This window comes from Homo sapiens, chromosome X, assembly GCF_000001405.40.
Source record: "Homo sapiens chromosome X, GRCh38.p14 Primary Assembly".
NCBI lineage: Eukaryota > Metazoa > Chordata > Mammalia > Primates > Hominidae > Homo > Homo sapiens.
Genome location: NC_000023.11, coordinates 134,746,061 through 134,765,116, shown reverse-complemented (window position 1 = coordinate 134,765,116; position 19,056 = coordinate 134,746,061). Strand labels below are relative to the sequence as shown.

Here is a 19,056-nt window from a genome sequence, read left to right as displayed (position 1 = left end):
GTGGTTTAAACAAGCCTTCTGTTTGTGGCATATGACACTGATGTTCCATTTATCATAGTGATAGGAAGCTTTTTATTACAGTAAACTTGGCAAGTTGTATAGTAAAGGAAAGGTGACTTAATTTAAATACATCTTGAGTAAATGATAGTATGAATGATCCATAGCCAGATATGGCCCAAATCTTAGGAGACAGAGATAAGGAGTGTATGTTATAGTCTACGTCCACTTGCCGACTTCCTTTTTTCCCTTCTTTTCTTTCCCAACCCTTGCTCAATCATAATACAAACTCTCCCATTTTCTCCTTCTGTATCCTCAGCAGCTAGCATCCTATCTGAAATAGAATAGTCACTCAATAAAATTCTGTTGAACTAAGTAACCCCTCACTATCCTATCAGAAATAGAACAGTCACTTAATAAAATATTGTTGAACTAAGTAACCCCACACTATCCTATCTGAAATAGAACACTCAATAAAATTTTGTTGAACTAAGTAACCCCACGCTATCCTATCTGAAATAGAACAGTCACTCAATAAAATTTTGTTAAACTAAGTAACCCCACGTTATCCTATCTGAAATAGAATAGTCACTCAATAAAATTTTGTTGAACAAGGTAACCCCACGCTCTAACCTATAGAGGGAGTAAAAGAAAGTCACTCTCACCTATAGAGGGAGCTGAAAGAAAACCACAGGGAGTGCTAACCTATAGGAGAAGCTGAAAGAAAATCACTAGGGAATGAACCTATAGGAGAAGCTGAAAGTAAATCTCCGGGGAAGTGTTAACCACACACTCTCACCTCTAGGAGGAGGGTGAAGCTTCTTGTCTTCCAGACATTCCCGAGGAAAACTTACACGAGGAGTCTGTCAAGGAGTGCCACCCTTTGGTAATCTTTATTAATATATACCTAATATGTACCTTATGTTTGTGGCATGTGATACTGATGTTCCATTTATCATAGTGATAGGAAGCTTTTTATTACAGTAAACTTGGCAGGTCGTATAGTAAAGGAAAAGTGACTTAATTTAAATACGTCTTGAGTAAATGATAGTATGAACGATCCATAGCCAGATATGGCCCAAATCTTAAAATATACATAATTACTTCGATCCAGGAAAGTATTGGGTCACAGTGGTGTGTGGAACAGTCTGTATGAAGAAGTTAGAAGCTGTGGAATCTGTGTGGAATGCTCTTGCCGGGTTCTTTTTAGATTTCCTCTTTTTTGGGATTCTGCGCTTTTCCTTTCCCTTTTCTTTTCTCTTTCTTTCTTTCTTTCTTTCTTTCTTTCTTTCTTTTTTTTTTCGGAGTTTCTTTCTTGTTGCCCAGGCTGGAGTGCAGTGGCGCCGTCTCGGCTCAATGCAACCTCCGCCTCCCGGGTTCAAGCAATTCTCCTGCCTCAGCCTCCTGAGTAGGTGGGATTACAATCACCCGCCACCACGCCCGACTAATTTTTGTATTTTTAGTAGAGATGGGGTTTCACCGTGTTAGCCAGGCTGGTCTCGAACTTCTGACCTCAGGTGATCCGCCTGCCTCGGCCTCCCAAAGTGCTGGGATTATAGGCGTGAGCTATCGTGCCCAGCCTATTCTGCACTTTTCTTCTCCTGTGAGGTGTGGTAAGACAGGTCAGGAACCTCTCTCCTTTAGCTTCTGGGGGGAACATGAGGGGCTGAGGTAAAGTGGGGCTAAAGAGCACTTAAGGCCTGGTTTGCTTACCTATCTCTTCTGACTAAAAAAGTGATTAGAACTCCAGAGCTAATGTCAGCATGCAGCCCTCAGAGAAAGGAGCTTCTAGTCTGGATCACTGAGGCCTGCCTTCTTTGGGCAAGAGGAATTTTTAGTCTAGTTCCCCTCATGACTACTGAAGTAGTCTGGGGTGAAAGCCCTAGCTGGTGAAGTGTTTCTTTGAATCTTCCCTGTAAGCATCCATCTCCCTCGGAGACCTGTGGGATGCGGGGAGGAAGAGGGGAAGAGAGGCTGTGGCTGTTGTAGGTGAGGGGTTAATAATTCTAGGATTTGTAATCCTGACCATGTATATTTCTACCTCAGAGACAAAATTAACATCTCATAGCAGTGGTTTAATTTCTGTTATTGTTTTTCATCTTTATTCATTTTTATTTATTTTTGAATTATGGAGGAGAAAAGCTTGTTACAAAAAGTGGAAACCTCATAGAAGTATGCAAAGTAAAAAAATACTCCCCCTTCAGCGTTTTCATCTATAATGTAATAGTTTGATTTGTGTACCAAATTATCTTTTTCTTTTCTTTTCTTTTCTTTTTTTTTTTTTTTTTTTTTTTTTTTGAGATAGAGCCTCATTCTGTCACCCAGGCTGGAGTGCAGTGGCATGATCTCGGCTCACCGCAACCTCTGCTGCCCGGGTTCAAGTGATTCTCCTGCTTCCCGAGTAGCTGGGATTATAGGCGCCCGCCACTGCGCCTGGCTAATTTTTGTATTTTTAGTAGAGACGGGGTTTCACCATGTTGGCCAGGCTGCTCTTGAACTCCTGACCTCGTGATCCACCCGCCTCGGCCTCCCAAAGTCCAAAGTGCTGGGATTACAGGTGTGAGCCACCGTGCCCGGCCCTAGTTATCTTTTTCTATACATAGGCGAACATATTTGTAATAGATGCACATGCATATTTTAAAATTTTTATGGAAATGTAATGTATATACAAAAAGTATACAGGTTGATGAATTATCACAAACTGGATCTTCTGGGGGAATGTTCTCTGTGACCTGGGTGATGGTTACATGGGTTTATTCATTTGTGATAATTCCTGGAGAGTAAATGGCAGAAAGTGAGCCAGTAGGGAACAACTCAAGAGTTCTGGAATGTTCTCTATGGACCTGGGCGATGGTTACTTGGGTTGATTCAGTCTGTGATCATTCATAGAGTGAATGACTGGAAGTGGTCATTGGGGGGGGGGTGCCTCAACAGTTCTGGAATGTTCTATGTGACCTGACTGATGTTTGCTTAGGTTCCCTTTGTCAGCATTCAAAGAGTGAATGACTGGAAGTAGGTATTGTGGGGCACCTCAAGAGTTCTGGAATGTTCTCTGTGGACCTGGGTGATGGTTACTTGGGTTGATTGCGTTTGTGATCATTCATAGAGTGAATGACTGGAAGTGGGCATTAGAGGGCGCTTCAAAAGTTCTCGAATGCTCTGCACTGAGATAGGTGACTGTTTATGGGTTCATTTTTAGCAATTGTGTGAACATTCCATAATTTAACCCTCAAATGATGATCATTGAGGTTCTTTATAATTTTTTAGTATACACAAGTAAATGTTGTTATTTATTTAAATTTGTCCGCTTCTGTATGTATTTCTTCAGGAGAGATTCTTAGAAGTGATAAATTGCTGGGTCAGAGGACATGTGCATTTTATTATTTTCTTTTTGGAAAGGTAAGACAAGTTCAGTGTAAAAAAATCAAATAGCAAATAAAAAGGACATATAGGGAAAAGTCAGTTTTCCTCTTACCCTTGACCTCCAGTCCCATCAGATCCTTTCTCAGAAGCAACCAGTGTTACCAGCTTCTGGCAGGTTCTAACAGAGATACTGTGTACATTGCATATATATTTACATATCCTTATAAGGCATTGCTTAAAGCCATACCACCACCCCATCAAGATTGTACCAATTTATAATCTCGTCAATAGCGTTTAAGAGTTCCCTTCCCCCCGATCCCGAACCCTGGCCAGGGATGATTTGGGGGTTCTGAAAATATTTGAGTAAAAAGGAACAGGTTTTATTCATTCATCCATTGGCAATACATTAATGTGCTTCAGAATTCAAAAGGTGCAAAACGTCTGCCTCCCACTTTCATCCCCTAGCTGTCATAGCTCCTTTCCCCCAGAGCAATTGTGTTTTCAGTTTCTAATGCATTCTTACGGAGAAAGTTTGCATATGTAAACAAATCCATCTATATATTTTTTTTTTCCTGAAATTTTACACAAATGGCAGCATATTTGTATGAGCGATTACTACATGACCTCCCTCTCCTTTTCCCCTCAAAAACCTAAGTGACTTAAAACAATTATTCATTTTTTCTCATGAGCCTATGGGTAAGCTGGGAGTATCTGCTATTCAGGGCCAGGCTCAGATCATCTTGGCTGGTCAGTTGATGGGTCAGTTGGGGATTGGTTGGTCTAGAATGGCTTCAGCTGGGATTGTTCAGCTCTACTCCATGAGGTCTCTTACCCACAAGCAGTCTAGTCTGGGCTTGTTCCCATCGTAGTGTGAGGACTCCACAAGAACAGAAGCACAGAAGGCCTCTGGAGGCCTAGACTTGGCTCTGGCACAACGTAACTGTCTTATTCTGTCGACCAAAGCAAGCCACAGGCTAGCTAGCCCGGATTCAAGGAATGTGAGGAGCTGCAAAGTCACGTTGCAGGGTGTATGGGCTTAGGGAGGGGAAGAGCTGGGGCCATTTATTCTATCAAATACAATACTATAGGTATTGTTATGTACCTTAACCTTTTTTTTTTAACCTAACACTGTATCTTGGAAATGACTTCATATTAGTCCACAAAGAGCTTCTTTGTTTTTTATTCTATTTCATTTTGCCAGCCCCCTATTGAAGGAAACATATTGCTTCCAGTCTTTTGCTATTATCTAACAATGCTGCAATGAATAACATTGAACATATGTCAGATAAATTCCTAGGGGTGGAATTACTGGGTCAAAAGGTATATATATTTATTATGTTTGATAGTGACTTCCAAATTAAACTGAAAATTTTGTAATTTTTTTTCCACTCTAAAGAAATAGAAGTTCAGTTTTGTGCAGTGGCAGCATCATAGCCAGTGAGGTTTATCTGAGGAGTGATTATTGCTAATTGAAAACTTTTCCCAGTACCCCGCCATGATGGCTTGAAATATAGTTGGCGTTGGCATTTTTTGACAGTCTGTATGGAGACTAAACTAAAAATAGAAATGAAGAAAAAAGAAATGGAAGTTCATAATTTAAAATTTTTATTTTTTTGTACAAATTGATGGGGTATAAGTGAAATTTTGTTACATGTATATAATGCATTGTAATGAAGTCAGAGTATTTAGGGTGTCCATAACCCAAGTACAATATATTTTTGTTAAGTATAGTCAACCTAATGTGCTGTCAAACACTGAATTTATTCCTTCTGTCTTACTGTATATTTGTAAGTACCCCTTAACCCACTTTTTTTCATCCTCCTCCCTACCCCCGATTCACCCTTCCCAGTCTCTGTTATCTGTCTGTCCACTCTCTATCTACATATGATCAAGTTTTTTAGCTCCCACATATAAGTAAGAACATTCAATATTTGTCTTTTTGTGCCTAGCTTATTTCACTTAAGATATGACTTCTAGTTCCATTGATGTTGCTGAAAATGACATGATTTCATTCTTTTTTATAACTATATAGTATTCCATTGTGTATATGTACCACATTTTCTTTATCCATTCATCTGTTGATGGACATTTAGGTTGATTCTGTATCTTTGCTATTTTGAAGAGTGCTGCAGTAAACATAGGAGTGCAGGTATCCCTTTGATATATTGATTTCTTTTCCTTTGGGTAGATACATGGGATTGTTAGATCAAATGGCAATTCTATGTTTAGTTTTTTGAGAAATCTCCATACTGTTTTCCATAGTGGCTATACTAGTCTACATTCCCACCACCAATGTATAAGAGTTCCTGGCCGGGCTTGGTGGCTCATGCCTGTACTCCTAGCACTTTGGGAGGCCGAGGCGGGTGGATCAAGAGGTCAGGAGTTTGAGACCAGCCCGGACAATATGCTGAAACCCTCTCTCTACTAAAAATACAAAAATTAGCCAGGCATGGTGGCGCACACCTGTAGTCCCAGCTACTCAGGAGGCTGAGGTAGGAGAATCACTTGAACCCAGGAGGTGGAGGTTGCAGCGAGCTGAGATTGCACCACTGCACTCCAGCCTAGGCGACAGAGTGAGACTCTGTCTCAAAAAAAAAAAAGAGTTCCTTTTCTCTGCATCCTCACCAACATCTCTTATTTTTTGTCTTTTCAGTAGTAGCCATTCTGACTGGGGTAAGATGATATCTCATTGTGGTTTTGATCTGCATTTATCTGATGATTAGCGATGTAGAGTATTTTTTCATATACCTGTTGGCTGTTTGTATGTTTTCTTTTAAGAAATGTCTATTCATGTCCTTTTCCCATTTTTTAGTGGGAATATTTGTTGTTTTCCTATTATTTGAGTTCTTGGTATATTCTGGATATTAAGTCCCCATTAGATGAATAGTTTACAAATATTTTCTCATATTCAACAGGTTGTTTCTTAACTCTATTGATTGTTTCCTTTACTGTGCAGAAGATTTTTAGCTTGATTTGCCTATTTTTGTTTTTGTTGCCTGTGCTTTTGAGGTCTTAGTCATAAATTCTTTGTCTAGATCAATGTCCAGGAGAGTTTTCCATAGGTTTTCTTGTAGTGTTTTTATAGTTTCAAGTCTTATGTTTAATCCATTTTGAGTCGATTTTTGTATATGGTAAGAGATAGGGGTCCAATTTCATTCTGCATGTGGCTATTCATTTTTCCCAGCACTATTTGTTGAAGAAAGTGTCCTTTCCCCAGGGAAAGTTCTTGCTGGCTTTGTCAAAAATCAGTTGGCTGTGTATGTGGCTTTATTTCTGAGTTCTCTATGCTGTTCCATTGGTATATGTGTCTGTTTTTATACCATTACCATGCTGTTTTGGTTACTATAGCCTTGCAATATATTTTGAAGTCAGGTAATGTGATGCTTCCAGCTTTCTTTTTGCTCAGGATTGTTTTGGTTACTTGGACTCTTTTTTTGTTCTGTATGAATTTTAGGATTGTTTTTTCTAATTTTGTGAAGAATTATGTTGGTATTTTGATAAGGATTGCATCGAATCTATAGATAGCTTTGGGCAATGTGGTCATTTTAACTAGATTAATTTTTCCAACCCATGAGCATGGGTTTTTTTTTTCCATTTGTCTATGTCATCTTCAATTTCTTTTATCAGTGTTTGTAGTTTTCCTTATAGAGATCTTTCACCTCCTTGTTTGAAGTTATTCCTACATATTTTATTTTTGTAACTATTGTAAATGGGATTGCCTTCTTTTCTTTCATGTCTAGATCATTATTGGCCATCATATAGAAATGCTAATGATTTTTGTACATTGATTTTGTATGCTGCAACTTTTTATTTTAAAAGAAGTCAAGCCTACAGAAAAGTTGAAAGAATAGTACAATAAAAACCCATATACCCTTCATGAAGATTAAACACTTGTTTACATTTTGCCACATTTGTTCTCTCTCTGTGTGTATACATATATATAACACTACATAGAACATACATATATATATATACATATTTTATGAACCATTTGACATTAAGTTGGAGATATCAAGACACTTTTTCAGCCTGTATTGCCTAAAAACAAGGGTGTTTACCTACATAATCACAATTTTGTTAGCACACCCAAGAAATTTAAGATTGACAGAATATTATTTTATTCATAGCCCATATTCAAATTTCCCGATTGCCCCAATAATGTCATTTAGAGCTTTTTTTTGTTTGTTTCAATCAAGGATCCCAAATTCAGGATCAAAGGTCATACAAATTCATGTACTTGTCATATCTCTAGTAGTCTTTCATATAAAAGTTTCCCACTTTTTTCATCTTTCATGAAATATTCATTTTGAAGACTCTAGGCCAGTTATCTTGTATCATGGCCTAAAATTTGGATTTGTCACATTGTTCCCTCATGAATATATTCAGGTTAAACACTTTTGGCAAAGATACCACATAGGTGGTTTCCATTGCCTCACGTCAGGAGGTGTATACAATGTCAATTTGTCCTATTGCCAAGTTGGATCACTTGACCAAAGTAGTGTAATCCAGATTTCTCCATGTAAAGGCACATTCTCCTCCTTTGTAATTAATATTCAATTAATATCTTTAAAGTATGACCATGTAAATATTCTGTTCCCCAATAATTTTCATCTGATAGTTTTAGCATTCATTATAATCCCTATCTGAATCAGTTTTTAACACAGTGGCTGCAAAGGTACGTTTTCCCAATTCTGTTGTTCCTTCCACATTTATTAGCTATCCATTCGTCTGTAAAGGAAGCTGACCCCTTTTGTTTTTCATGTCACTTCAAATTCTTTTTTAAAATTAATCTGTATAACCTGTTACCATTATTGGACTCGTGCCTGAATAGACAGATCAACAAAACAAAGCAGAAAGTCCAGAAATAGACCCAAGTATATATGAAAATGTAATCTTTTTTTTTTTTTTGAGACGGAGTCTTGCTCTTTCCCCCAGGCTGGAGTGCAGTGGCGTAATCTCGGCTCAATGCAACCTCCGCCTCCCGGGTTCACGCCATTCTCCTGCCTCAGCCTCCTGAGTAGCTGGGACTACAGGCACCCGCCACCACGCCTGGCCAATTTTTTGTATTTTTAGTAGAGACGGGGTTTCACTGTGTTAGCCAGGATGGTCTCGATACCCTGACCTCGTGATCCGCCTGTCTCGGCCTCCCAAAGTGCTGGGATTACAGGCGTGAGCCACCGCGCCCGGCCGAAAATGTAATATTTAATAAACAGTTTATTACTGGGGCAAAGATGGACTTTTTAAATAAATTCTATTGGCACAACTGGATAGCCATTTGGACAAAAAGGTAATTTGGTCCCATACTTCACATTGTACCCTAGAATAAGCTCCAAATGGAGCTTATTATATAAAATATTTAAAAAATAAAAAATAAAACCATATAGGTACCAGGTGGTCCAAATATTAAAAAAAAAAACATATAGGCACTAGAAGAAAACGTCGATTAATTTCTTTATAATCTGGGTGTGGGGAAAGCCTTTTAAAATATGACTCCAAATCCAAATGCCATAAAATGATGAGTATTTTCAAGTACATAAAAATCAAAGTAAAAACCTTTTTTTGCATGGCAAAAATCAGATAGGCAAAGTCAAAAGAAAGATGATGAAGGCCGGGCGTGGTGGCTCATGCCTGTAATCCCAACACTTTGGGAGGCCAAGGCGGGCGGATCTCGAGGACAGGAGATAGAGACCATCCTGGCTAACACGGTGAAACCCCGTCTCTACTAAAAATACAAAAAATTAGCCGGGCGTGGTGGTGGGCACCTGTAGTCCCAGCTACTTGGGAGGCTGAGATAGAAGAATCACTTGAACCCGGGAGCCAGAGGTTGCAGTGAGCCAAGAGCACTCCAGCCTGGTGACAGAGCAAGAATCCATCTCAAAAAAAAAAAAAAAAAAAAAAAAGAAAGAAAAGGAAAAAGAAAAGAAAGATGATGAAACTGAGAAAATACTTATAATGTATACATAAATAAAGGTCCAATATCCCAAACATATAAAGAACTTTTTAAATCTAAAGAAAAAAGGCTAAAAAGTCTCAGGAGGAAAATGGGCAAAAACATGAATACACAGTTCACAGAAGAAAGTATACAAATGATCCTTAAATATATGAAAAGATACTCAACTTCACACATAGTAAGAGATGCAAATATATTTAAAATACACAGTCAACTTGACCATCTGGATCATTTGGAGAGGAGGAGCAATGCCAGGTTAGGTTAAGTTCTCCCATTTAGGCACTCCTTGATATCCCTGGGCTTCACCTTTTATGGCACTTATCTGACTTGTAATTACAGTGATTGTTTAATGTCTGTCTTCCATACTAGTTACCAAATGTATAAGAATAGTGACCAAGACTATCTTATTCACACTGGTATCCCCAGCTCCACGCACAAAGTAAATGCTCAATTAACATTTGTCAAATCAATGAACAAACAAACTACAGAGTACTTATACTCACCAATAAGAGCTACCACTTAATAGTTGGATGAATGAATGAGTAACGTGGAGGCAAGGAATTGAATCTAAATCTATGTTTTCTGTAGTTCTCTCTCCCCGCTTCTCTTTCAGTTCTTGCCCACTTTCCATGGCAAACTCTCTCTCCTATTTTTTCTCCCTAATTTCCATCTAATTTCCACATGCTAGCTAAAGTAAAACCTTCAGCATGGCCTATGCTCATAAAATGTGTGCCTAGATCAAAAATAAGAAAAGTTGCAAATTTACATGATAAATTGGATGTTAGCATCTGAAGTGCTTTAAAATGGCCTGCTTTCTTATGTTTCTATAATTATTTTCTTATGCACCAAAATAAGAAAACTGAAAAATAATTTATTGTTAAAGTCATTCCAACATTTATCTTATTGCTAAAACTGCTTCCTACCGTTTCATTGCAAACCTACAGTATTTTAGCTTTACTTTTGTGAATCAAATTGGAACTCTAACCAGCGTAATCTTGTCTCTTCAAGAAAATGCATTGTAGGCACCAAAAAAAAAAAAAAAAAAAAAGAACAATAAATGTTCGAAATGTAGCACATTTGTAAATTGGAAGACAGCTTGTTTATGAGTGCCTGTTGATTAAATTTGTTAATGAGCCCTTAAGAAATTGCCCCTTTTTCTCCTACCACTAGAAATCCTTGATGGATTTTTCTATTACATCTAATTTTCAACACATAGAATAAAGCCTTCCATCTATGTTGACTTTTACCTCAGAAGTTGAGCGAGTTACTTGATTTTTACAAGCCCAGAAAAATAGGCTTCCCCCTAGACAGTCATTGTAAAAGGAGTCTCTTGGTAGCAGATTCCATTTTTTTCTAATACTATAATTATAGATCGATCCAATAAATGTTACTTTAAAATTTTGCTCAGTGGAAAGGCACTATAGAAAAATCTCATGTATTAGCCTAAAGCAGCTTGAATCTACTCCCTATCTTGTGAATGTTTAGGAGTTTTGATAGCCTATATAAATAAGTGTGCTGCATAGCAGCAGTTATTACAATAAAACAATATTCTGCTGGATTTTGTTGAAGCTTTGATTAATGTGAATATAAATTGATAGGGACAACAGAAAGTTTGAGGTTAAAATTTAGGTAGCAACCTTGCCATAACGTATTGTAAAAGTACCATATGCTCATTGGATAATATATGAAAAGTAATGAAAAATAGAAAAAAGTTTAAAGTGAAAATAAAAATCACCATAATTACGCCAGGCAGAGACAGCTGTGTGTTTGTGGGGTTTTCTATGTGATGGAACTCAGATGCTATATGCAATATTTTAGTCTATGGAAGCACTTAAACATTGATAGTATTTTTTAAAGAAATATTTTGTGTCATCCGGGGTATTTAAGTTTTATGGTTTAGCACACTACTCTGGAGAATGGTTTGAGACTCCCGAGTCGAGAAATCAATTCACAGAAGTCCTGTTTCAATTACCTGCAGATGTCAGTGTGGATCTGAGTGTGATTCAACACTTTGTTCCAGGATGTGGTGGGACAGTTGAAGTCCAGTTGTGAACCAGTTGCTTATTAAACAAATAACAGTTTAGTTTGGATGAGAAATGTGAGCTGTAAGGACCTCAAGTCTCCGAAATTTCTTTTTATAAAATCTAAATAAGCATGGATATATTCTCCAGTTACATCCAGTTCACAGAAGATTATACCATCTCGTTCCCGCCCCTGATTGTTTAAACAGCCTAAGATTAGTTATAGTGCTGGAGAAGTAGAGTTGATGTCGTTGGGCTTATTAAATTTGACTCCAGCCCAGATGGCAGGTCTGAGCGATACATTAGGAGCTGTGTTGGTTTACTTTTTGCTGTTATCGTATATTTAAACTCAAAGTTTAAAACTGATGATTCCAGCTCTAAAAGGGCATCATCTTTGCCATTGCTTCTGATGCTTATCTGCTTTTCTACATGATCCCGCTCTTTCATGCAACTTCGTGACATGAAAAGTCAATGTCGATTAGGCTAGGAAAATGTCAGGGAGACTTGCAGTGGCTCATTTTACCAAAACACAATTGTTTCTCGGGCCACGACACAAATCTGCCATCTGTTTCATAAGCTTGCAGGCTTCCTCTGAAGTATAATTTGCTATATATATTGGTACAGAAATTGTTGGTAGCTTATGTTTACCTAGCAACATAATCTGTTTGGTAGAAGGCTGTGGGAAAGGAGGCTTTGTGGAGGAGGATTTTCTTTTTCTTTCTTTTTTTAAAGAGAGCAGTTTCTTCATCTACAAATTATCTTTAAGTGCAAGAAAGGCGGATGTGCTGGCCCAAACAATCTGCCTTTTATACCATTTTAACCTAAATTGCCTAGTAAATGCTCACTTTGGGAGTTATTTTTGCTATGTCAATTATCTCATATATACATGAATGCCCTCTTTTCAATTTATTTTTCTTTTCATACAAATCACTGTGAAATAACTGCCTTGACCTTCTAGCTGTAAAAGATCACCGAGCTTTGGGACTGCCTGCATCTGTCCAGTGTGTATTTCTCCTGTTTCCCAGTGCTCTTAGTGTGACTTGTGGGTTTTGAATGTTGAATTTACATTTCAAGGATGTTTGTCAGGGCCTGGTAGTCTTTAAGTTAAATGTAACAAAATCAAGCAGCCTGCACTGTGTTGTCTGCATTACATTAATTTTCATTTAATTGAATGAGCTGTATATTTCTACCTACCCACTTTCTTAGCTTTCTTATCAGCAGAGCAATGTGTCTGTTGAAAGAAAAAAAAAGCCAAGGGGAGAAAAAAAAGTTTTGACTTTCCTTCATGTTAGTTATAGACATCATATGCTGGTAAAGGTTAGAGTGTACTTTCTACATTCATTTTGAGAAGGGGAAGAAAGTGTTGTCCTGTCAACTTCCTTCATGTAACACCAAGGTATAATTTGCTGCAGGCTTATTGCATGATATTGCCCTTCTGAAAGTGACGGGTTTTTCATTTTAATCTATAGCTATTATGTAGTTCTCAATGAAGAGGCAATGTGGAGGTTACTAACCCACTTCCCTCTCTAAAAAAAAACAAACAAAGAAGAAATGAAAAGAAAAACGAACTTCTATATCATCCTGAGACTTTGAAACTAGTCCTGAGAAAAGACTGTAGCAGAATTGTTATATGGACAAAGTTCCTTTAGCCAGAGCCATCCCATGTCTTTCATCTTGCAGCCTTTGTTTCTGCCCCCTTGAGTCCCTAACTCTTCACAAGCCCAGAAATCTCCTCACAATGTAGCCTCACAGGAAAGCACTGATAACTTCTACAGAGTTGGCCCTGACAGTTTTGCAAGGGACATAGGAATTAACTGGGTTGGAAAGCAGGTTTCCTTGCATCACTGGGAGCAGCCATTAATAATACAAACATTTATTCTTGGTGTTCTCCAGTAATGCTAGTCATGGAAGTGAGAAATTGACAGCTTGAGTTGTGAAACTGAGACCCATTTTTATACAGAGCAGATAGTTAAAGGCAAGTGAGAGAAGATGAGCTAATGAGAGAAGGGTTGACAAAAGAAGAGCAGAGGACCGGGCTTTTGCAACAGAAGGGAGATGTAGGATGAAAGATCCTGGAGGAGTGAATGATCAAGGAGGGAAGCTTATTGTCTTATTTAACCAACACTTCTTCAGCATTGGTAGTGTGCCAGAGACAAGAGATGGGAGGAACAGGATAGAGAGGAGACATTTTTAGGAGGGTGATGAATGAAAACAAAATGGTAGAAGATGCCCCAAAAGTCTTTAGTGGCTTTATTTCTGTCGAGAAGGTCGGAAGTCAGATTGCAGAGGAGCAAGAAAGGAATGCAGCATTCATTCTAAAAGTTTGGCAGCATTCTAGAGACTGGTAGCTGGAAGGGTAGGAGGGTCACTTGTAGAGCAGTTGTTGATGTTGTTGTTGTTGTTGATGGTGATGCAGTTGTCTGCATGAGATTGAAGAGCCAATGGGATAGGAAATAAATCAGAGGTCCCTGGTGAGCAGTGCTGTCCACTAGAACTTTCCACGATGATGGGAATTACATACATTTGCACCGTCCCATTCAGGAGCCGCCAGCACCACGTGGCTGTTGAGTACTTGAAATGTGGCTAGCACAATCAAGAAACTTCATTTTTAGCTTTATTTCATTATAATTCATTTACATTTTTCTTTTCCTTTTTTTTTTTTTTTGACAGAGCCTTGCTGTGTTGCCCAGGCTGCAGTGCGGTGGCATGATCTTGGCTCACTGTAACCTCTGCCTCCTGGGTTCAAGCGATTCTCCTGCCTCAACCTCCTGAGTAGCTGGGACTACAGGTGGCGCCCCCACACCAGGCTATATATATATATAAATATATATATATATATTTATAAATATATATATATAAAAATATATATATATAAATATATATATAAATATATATATATATATTTATAAATATATATATATAAAAATATATATATATAAATATATATATAAATATATATATATATATATATATTTTTTTTTTTGTATTTTTATTAGAGACAGGGTTTCACCATGTTAACCAGGCTGGTCTTGAACTGCTGACCTCAGGTGATCCACCTGCCTCGGCCTCCCAAAGTGCTGGGATTACAGGCTTGAGCCACTGCGTCCGGTCATAATTCATTTACATTTAAATAGCTACACGTGGCAAGAGGTTACTATCTAGGACAGCAGAGGTCTATAAGGAGAAAATAAATGTGGGAGTAAGAAAATGGGAAGAGATGAATTCTAGAGCAGAGTAGGAGGCAGTAACTTAGTATTTAGGAAAAATCTTCATCTGATGAGAGATGCTCTCACATCTCCAATAGCTAGGGGAGTTCAGACCCATAGCGTAAATGTTTTCAGCAACCGAATTGTCAAGCTCATCTACTAAAAATGGGAGAGTTGAGAGGAAGAAGATTTGGGGACCCGAGGAGAAAGATTGGGATATTCACAGCATACGGTATATCAGGAACAACTGGGCAGTGATGGGAACCAAACTGTGGTTGACAGCATGAGTTTGTGGTGGGCCAAGTCTAAGAGGCTCAACATGGGCCAAATTTGTACTGAGCCAAATGCGTGCAATTCCATATAAGGTTCTTTCTGGAATAAGAAACAAACTAAAAGGATCTGGAAAAAGGATATTATGCAATTTAGGCTTAGAAAGTTATGTTTGAGTATATCCCAGCAGCTCTGTTACTCTCTCTTAAACATCTTCTGATAAATTCCATTGGTTTTTTTTTCTGATGAATTTAAGCCTTGATAGTATAAAATGTATTTAGAGGAATCTCACTAGGCAGGTTAGGGCCCTTCTGCCTGGGTGGTGTTTGGTTAGGGTTATCTGCAAGATTCCATTGCTTGTTCTCCAAGCAAAAGAGCTTTCGGGTAGCTCACCCACGCCTCTCTGGTGATAGGAGTGGAGATGGTGGGGGCTTCCTTATAGCTAGAAAAATTATAGCACTGTGTAAGCCCATTGCTATTTAACTAACACTCTTTCCAGATGTTCTTGGAATGGAGGCCAGGGGCAAGATATGCTTATTGCAATACAGCTTCTATTTGTGGGAAAGGAGAAAAATTAAAGGAATGAGCAGATAGAAATGGAAACTGATCAGCTAGTATTTTTCTATATGTTAATAACACGAAAAGAATTAATTATGAACTGAACAGAGTTTTCTTTAAAATCCAGGTATTAGGCAGCAATTTAAAATCTTGATTTTTTGATAGAAATATCTCAACAAGCTCAAATTTTTGACTTCAGAAACAAGTGCACTCTTTGGCTACCTCGTCAGTCCTGTGGATATTTCTGTGTAGGCATTTGGTTCTTGTTTTCTTCTGTCACCCAGGTTGGAGTACGGTGGCCTGAACATGTCTCACTGCAGCCTCAACCTCCCAGGTTCAAGGGATCCTCCCACTTTAGCCTCCCGAGTAGCTGGGACTACAGGCAAACGTCACCGTGCCTGTTTGTTGTTGTTGTTTGTTTGTTTTGTTTTGTTTTGAGTCAGAGTCTCACACTGTTGCCCAGGCTGGAGTGCAGTGGCACGATCTTGGCTCACTGCAACCTCTATCTTCCATGCTCAACAATCCTCATGCTTCAGCCTCCCAAGTAGCTAGGACTACAGGCAGGCACCACCAAGCCCGCCTAATTGTTGTATTTTTTGTAGAGACAGGGTTTCATCATGTTGCCTAGGCTGGTCTCGAACTCCTGGGCTCAAGTGAGCCTCCTGCCTTGGCCTCCCAAAGCACTGGGATTACAGGTGTGAGCCACCATGCCCAGCCTGATTCTTGTTTTCATTGCAGCCTAACACTCTTAGAAAAGGCTGATTCGTGTCAAAAACCCATGACAGTGAGTAACCCTGATTAGAACTCTTCTTCTAACATTAAAATTTAAAGTAAGCAAAATGTGTCTTGTTCAATATGTTCCAGTGGCCAGTAAGGGACAATACGACTTCTCCAGTCTCTATAGTTCCAGCTAGGGATTTAAAGAGAAATAAAACAGATGTTAGAGCCTCAACCTGCCAATATCAGACCTAGGTAATTGTCTTGCCAGTCATTTCATCCATCTGCTGTAAAATATCAAGACGTTCCCCCCATTTAAACCCTGATACCAGAGTAATTCAAGCTGCCTGAGTAACACCAGTAGCTACGACCAAATTAAGTTTTCAAAGATGAGAATAAAACTGCTGAAAGTAGAATTTGGCATGCCTCTAAGAGATAAGGAGTCACTCAGAAATTTTAGAATTTCAATTTGTTCATCCAGGCATTTGTTAAATATCTTCCAAGATCCCTTACCATTGGTGATGTGGGGAGAAGACAGGCGATTCAGTAGCGGTATCAGATATGAATCTGGCCCTCAAAGATTTGTACTCTAGTTGGGTTTACAGATCTGAAGCTTCTAAAGCAATTCGAGAACAATTAGATGTAAACTTACATGGTAAGGCCCAGAAGGTGACTAGAACCAGTACTTTTTTTTTTTTTTTTTTGAGATGGAGTCTCTCTCTTGTCGCCCAGGCTGGAGTACAGTGGCGTGATCTTGGCCCACTGCAACCTCCGCCTCCCGGGTTCAAGTGATTCTCCTGTCTCAGCCTCCTGAGTAGCCGAGATTACAGGCGCCTGCCACCATGCCCGGCTAATTTTTGTGTTTTTAGTAGAGACAGGGTTTCACCATGTTGGCCGGGCTGGTCTCCAACTCCTGACCTCAAGTGATCCGCCCACCTCGGCCTCCCAAAATGCTGGGATTACAGGCGTGAGCCACTGCATGCAGCTGAACCTGTATCTTTAAAAACAAAAGAGACATGTGATAGCACAGAGAGAACCTGGCATTAGCGTATCTAAGGCCAATTTTGTCACTAACTGACCGGATCACCTTGGCCTTAAACTCTAAATCCTGTTTGTTTTTCTATAAAATGGAGATTGTGCTACTTGCTAAACTGGCTTTCTCACAGGGCTTCTTGTCTAGGGTGGGAAGCCATACTGGATAATTTTGAAGTCCTTTCCTGGCTCTTAATATTCTATGATTTTATGGTAGTGAATGCAAAAGTGCTTTGAAAAGTGTTAAGTGGTGTACATTGTAATATTTGTGGCATTATCATCATTATGAATGCCTCTTTGGGGTTCCCAGAGGCTGATGTTCTCCGTGCATCTGCTCACAGGACCACCACACAGCAAGTTTCCTGACTCTCAGGCCAGGATTCTCTTTCTGATCCCATAATGTCTCTTTTAAAAATTAATAAGCTGAGTGACTAGCAGATAATTTCCCAAGGAGGTCCCTACAATTTCCCCACTCCCACACACATTTATTTTCTCTTCCTTGGCAGAGTGCAAACTTCACTACAGGCCACCGAACAAAATAATGTCTTCTTTTAAAATCATTAAGCTGAGTGACCAGGCAACTCGAAATATAGCAGGGTGTTTCCCAGGGAGGTCAGGTCACCACTTTCCCCACCCCCTCCTCATTTATCTTCTCTTCTCCATCAGAATGCAAGCTGCCACACAAACTTTTGGGCATATGCTCTTTTGGCCTCCTGGATAGGCAGGTGTTAGCCACAGGAAACAAGCAACTAAACAGGCTGCTCTTGGTGCCGATTGGCCATGGGTTAATGAGAGGTTTCATTTAACTCTAGGTGGTCGGTGGTGTTCCACCCCACCTCTCCCAGAGTATGTCATTGTCCTGAATGAGAAGGCCTGAGGGCAATGCTTAGAAATGAGTTTAAGCTGTTACACATCAACTAAGGTTAAAGTCCTCTGTGCTTCTGTCCCCCTTATTGCCTACTCTATACCATTCCTCTTAGCATATACTGCCTTGGGCTGTTTTTATTTTTTCTGAAGCATGTGGCCTGTATCCCTTAGTGAAACCCTGTAGCCCCTTGAACATTGAGCACAATGTTCTGTAAACAATATTCACATGATTTGAAAAACAAAATCCAAGCAATGTAGAAAATACGATCTTCTGAAGTATTTACAGTCCAAAAGAAATTATACTGATACTAATCCAAGAGACTTGGAAGTCTATTCACTTCCACCCTTTCACCTCAAATTGTGCAGATTGGTTTAACAGCCCACCATGTCTCACTAATGTTAATGTATGGTTACCTCTGGCAGTCTCGACGCTGAGATCTGTGACTGGAGCCTGGGCATCAGTTAACTTTGCCAATGACTGTGATATATCATCTATAATATATGATACGTGATATGGCCAGTGGAGCCAAACAAGTCATTGGAGAGTGAGTTATGGGCTTTCTGGACAGAAGAGGTATTGGGTCAAGTCCAAAAACAGCATTCAATTTTCCTACTCTGTAAGCAGCAAGAAAAATGAGGGCCAAGGTGACCACAATCCTATCTAGCCTCTACATCTGCCTTTACCAAGATGTTTCTAAAGTCCTTGATGTTAACTCCAGAAAGGCAGTAAAAATGGACCAACAGCAGAGAGATGTAAAGGGTGCCTTCCTGTCTCTTGGGACAATGAGGCAGCCAGCCAGCCTGGCCAGCTGAAGGAGAACAAGGCAACCTGCCCAGCGAGACAAAGCAGAGGTCAGACAAGGAAGTGGAACTATTCTGCAAGAGGGGTGGGAGTTTTGAAAAATTAAAAACAGGTCAAGGAGGAAGCTGATGATGGGAACTGAACCTCAGGCCACAGGCCTTTGATTGTATACCCTCCAGAACAGAGTGTCACACTGAGCACTGCAAGTAATCTGGCTTTGCCTATGTCAATGTGTGTTATCCTCAACCTTGGCTTGGGTGAGTCTTCAATTCT

General features: G+C 39.3%; 1 protein-coding gene and 1 pseudogene across 3 annotated transcripts in view; both read left to right on the top strand.

Moving 5' to 3' along the window:
• The first annotated feature begins 794 nt into the window (after positions 1-794).
• Positions 795-19,056, top strand: part of PLAC1 (placenta enriched 1) — a 198,485-nt gene continuing 180,223 nt past the window's right edge. For all 3 annotated transcript variants that reach the window (XM_047441789.1, XM_011531257.3, NM_001316887.2), the window contains exon 1: positions 795-883. The gene's annotated coding sequence lies outside the window, so the exon portion shown is untranslated. The remainder of the gene's footprint in view (positions 884-19,056) is intronic.
• Positions 4,769-4,911, top strand: RNU4-44P (RNA, U4 small nuclear 44, pseudogene; annotated as a pseudogene).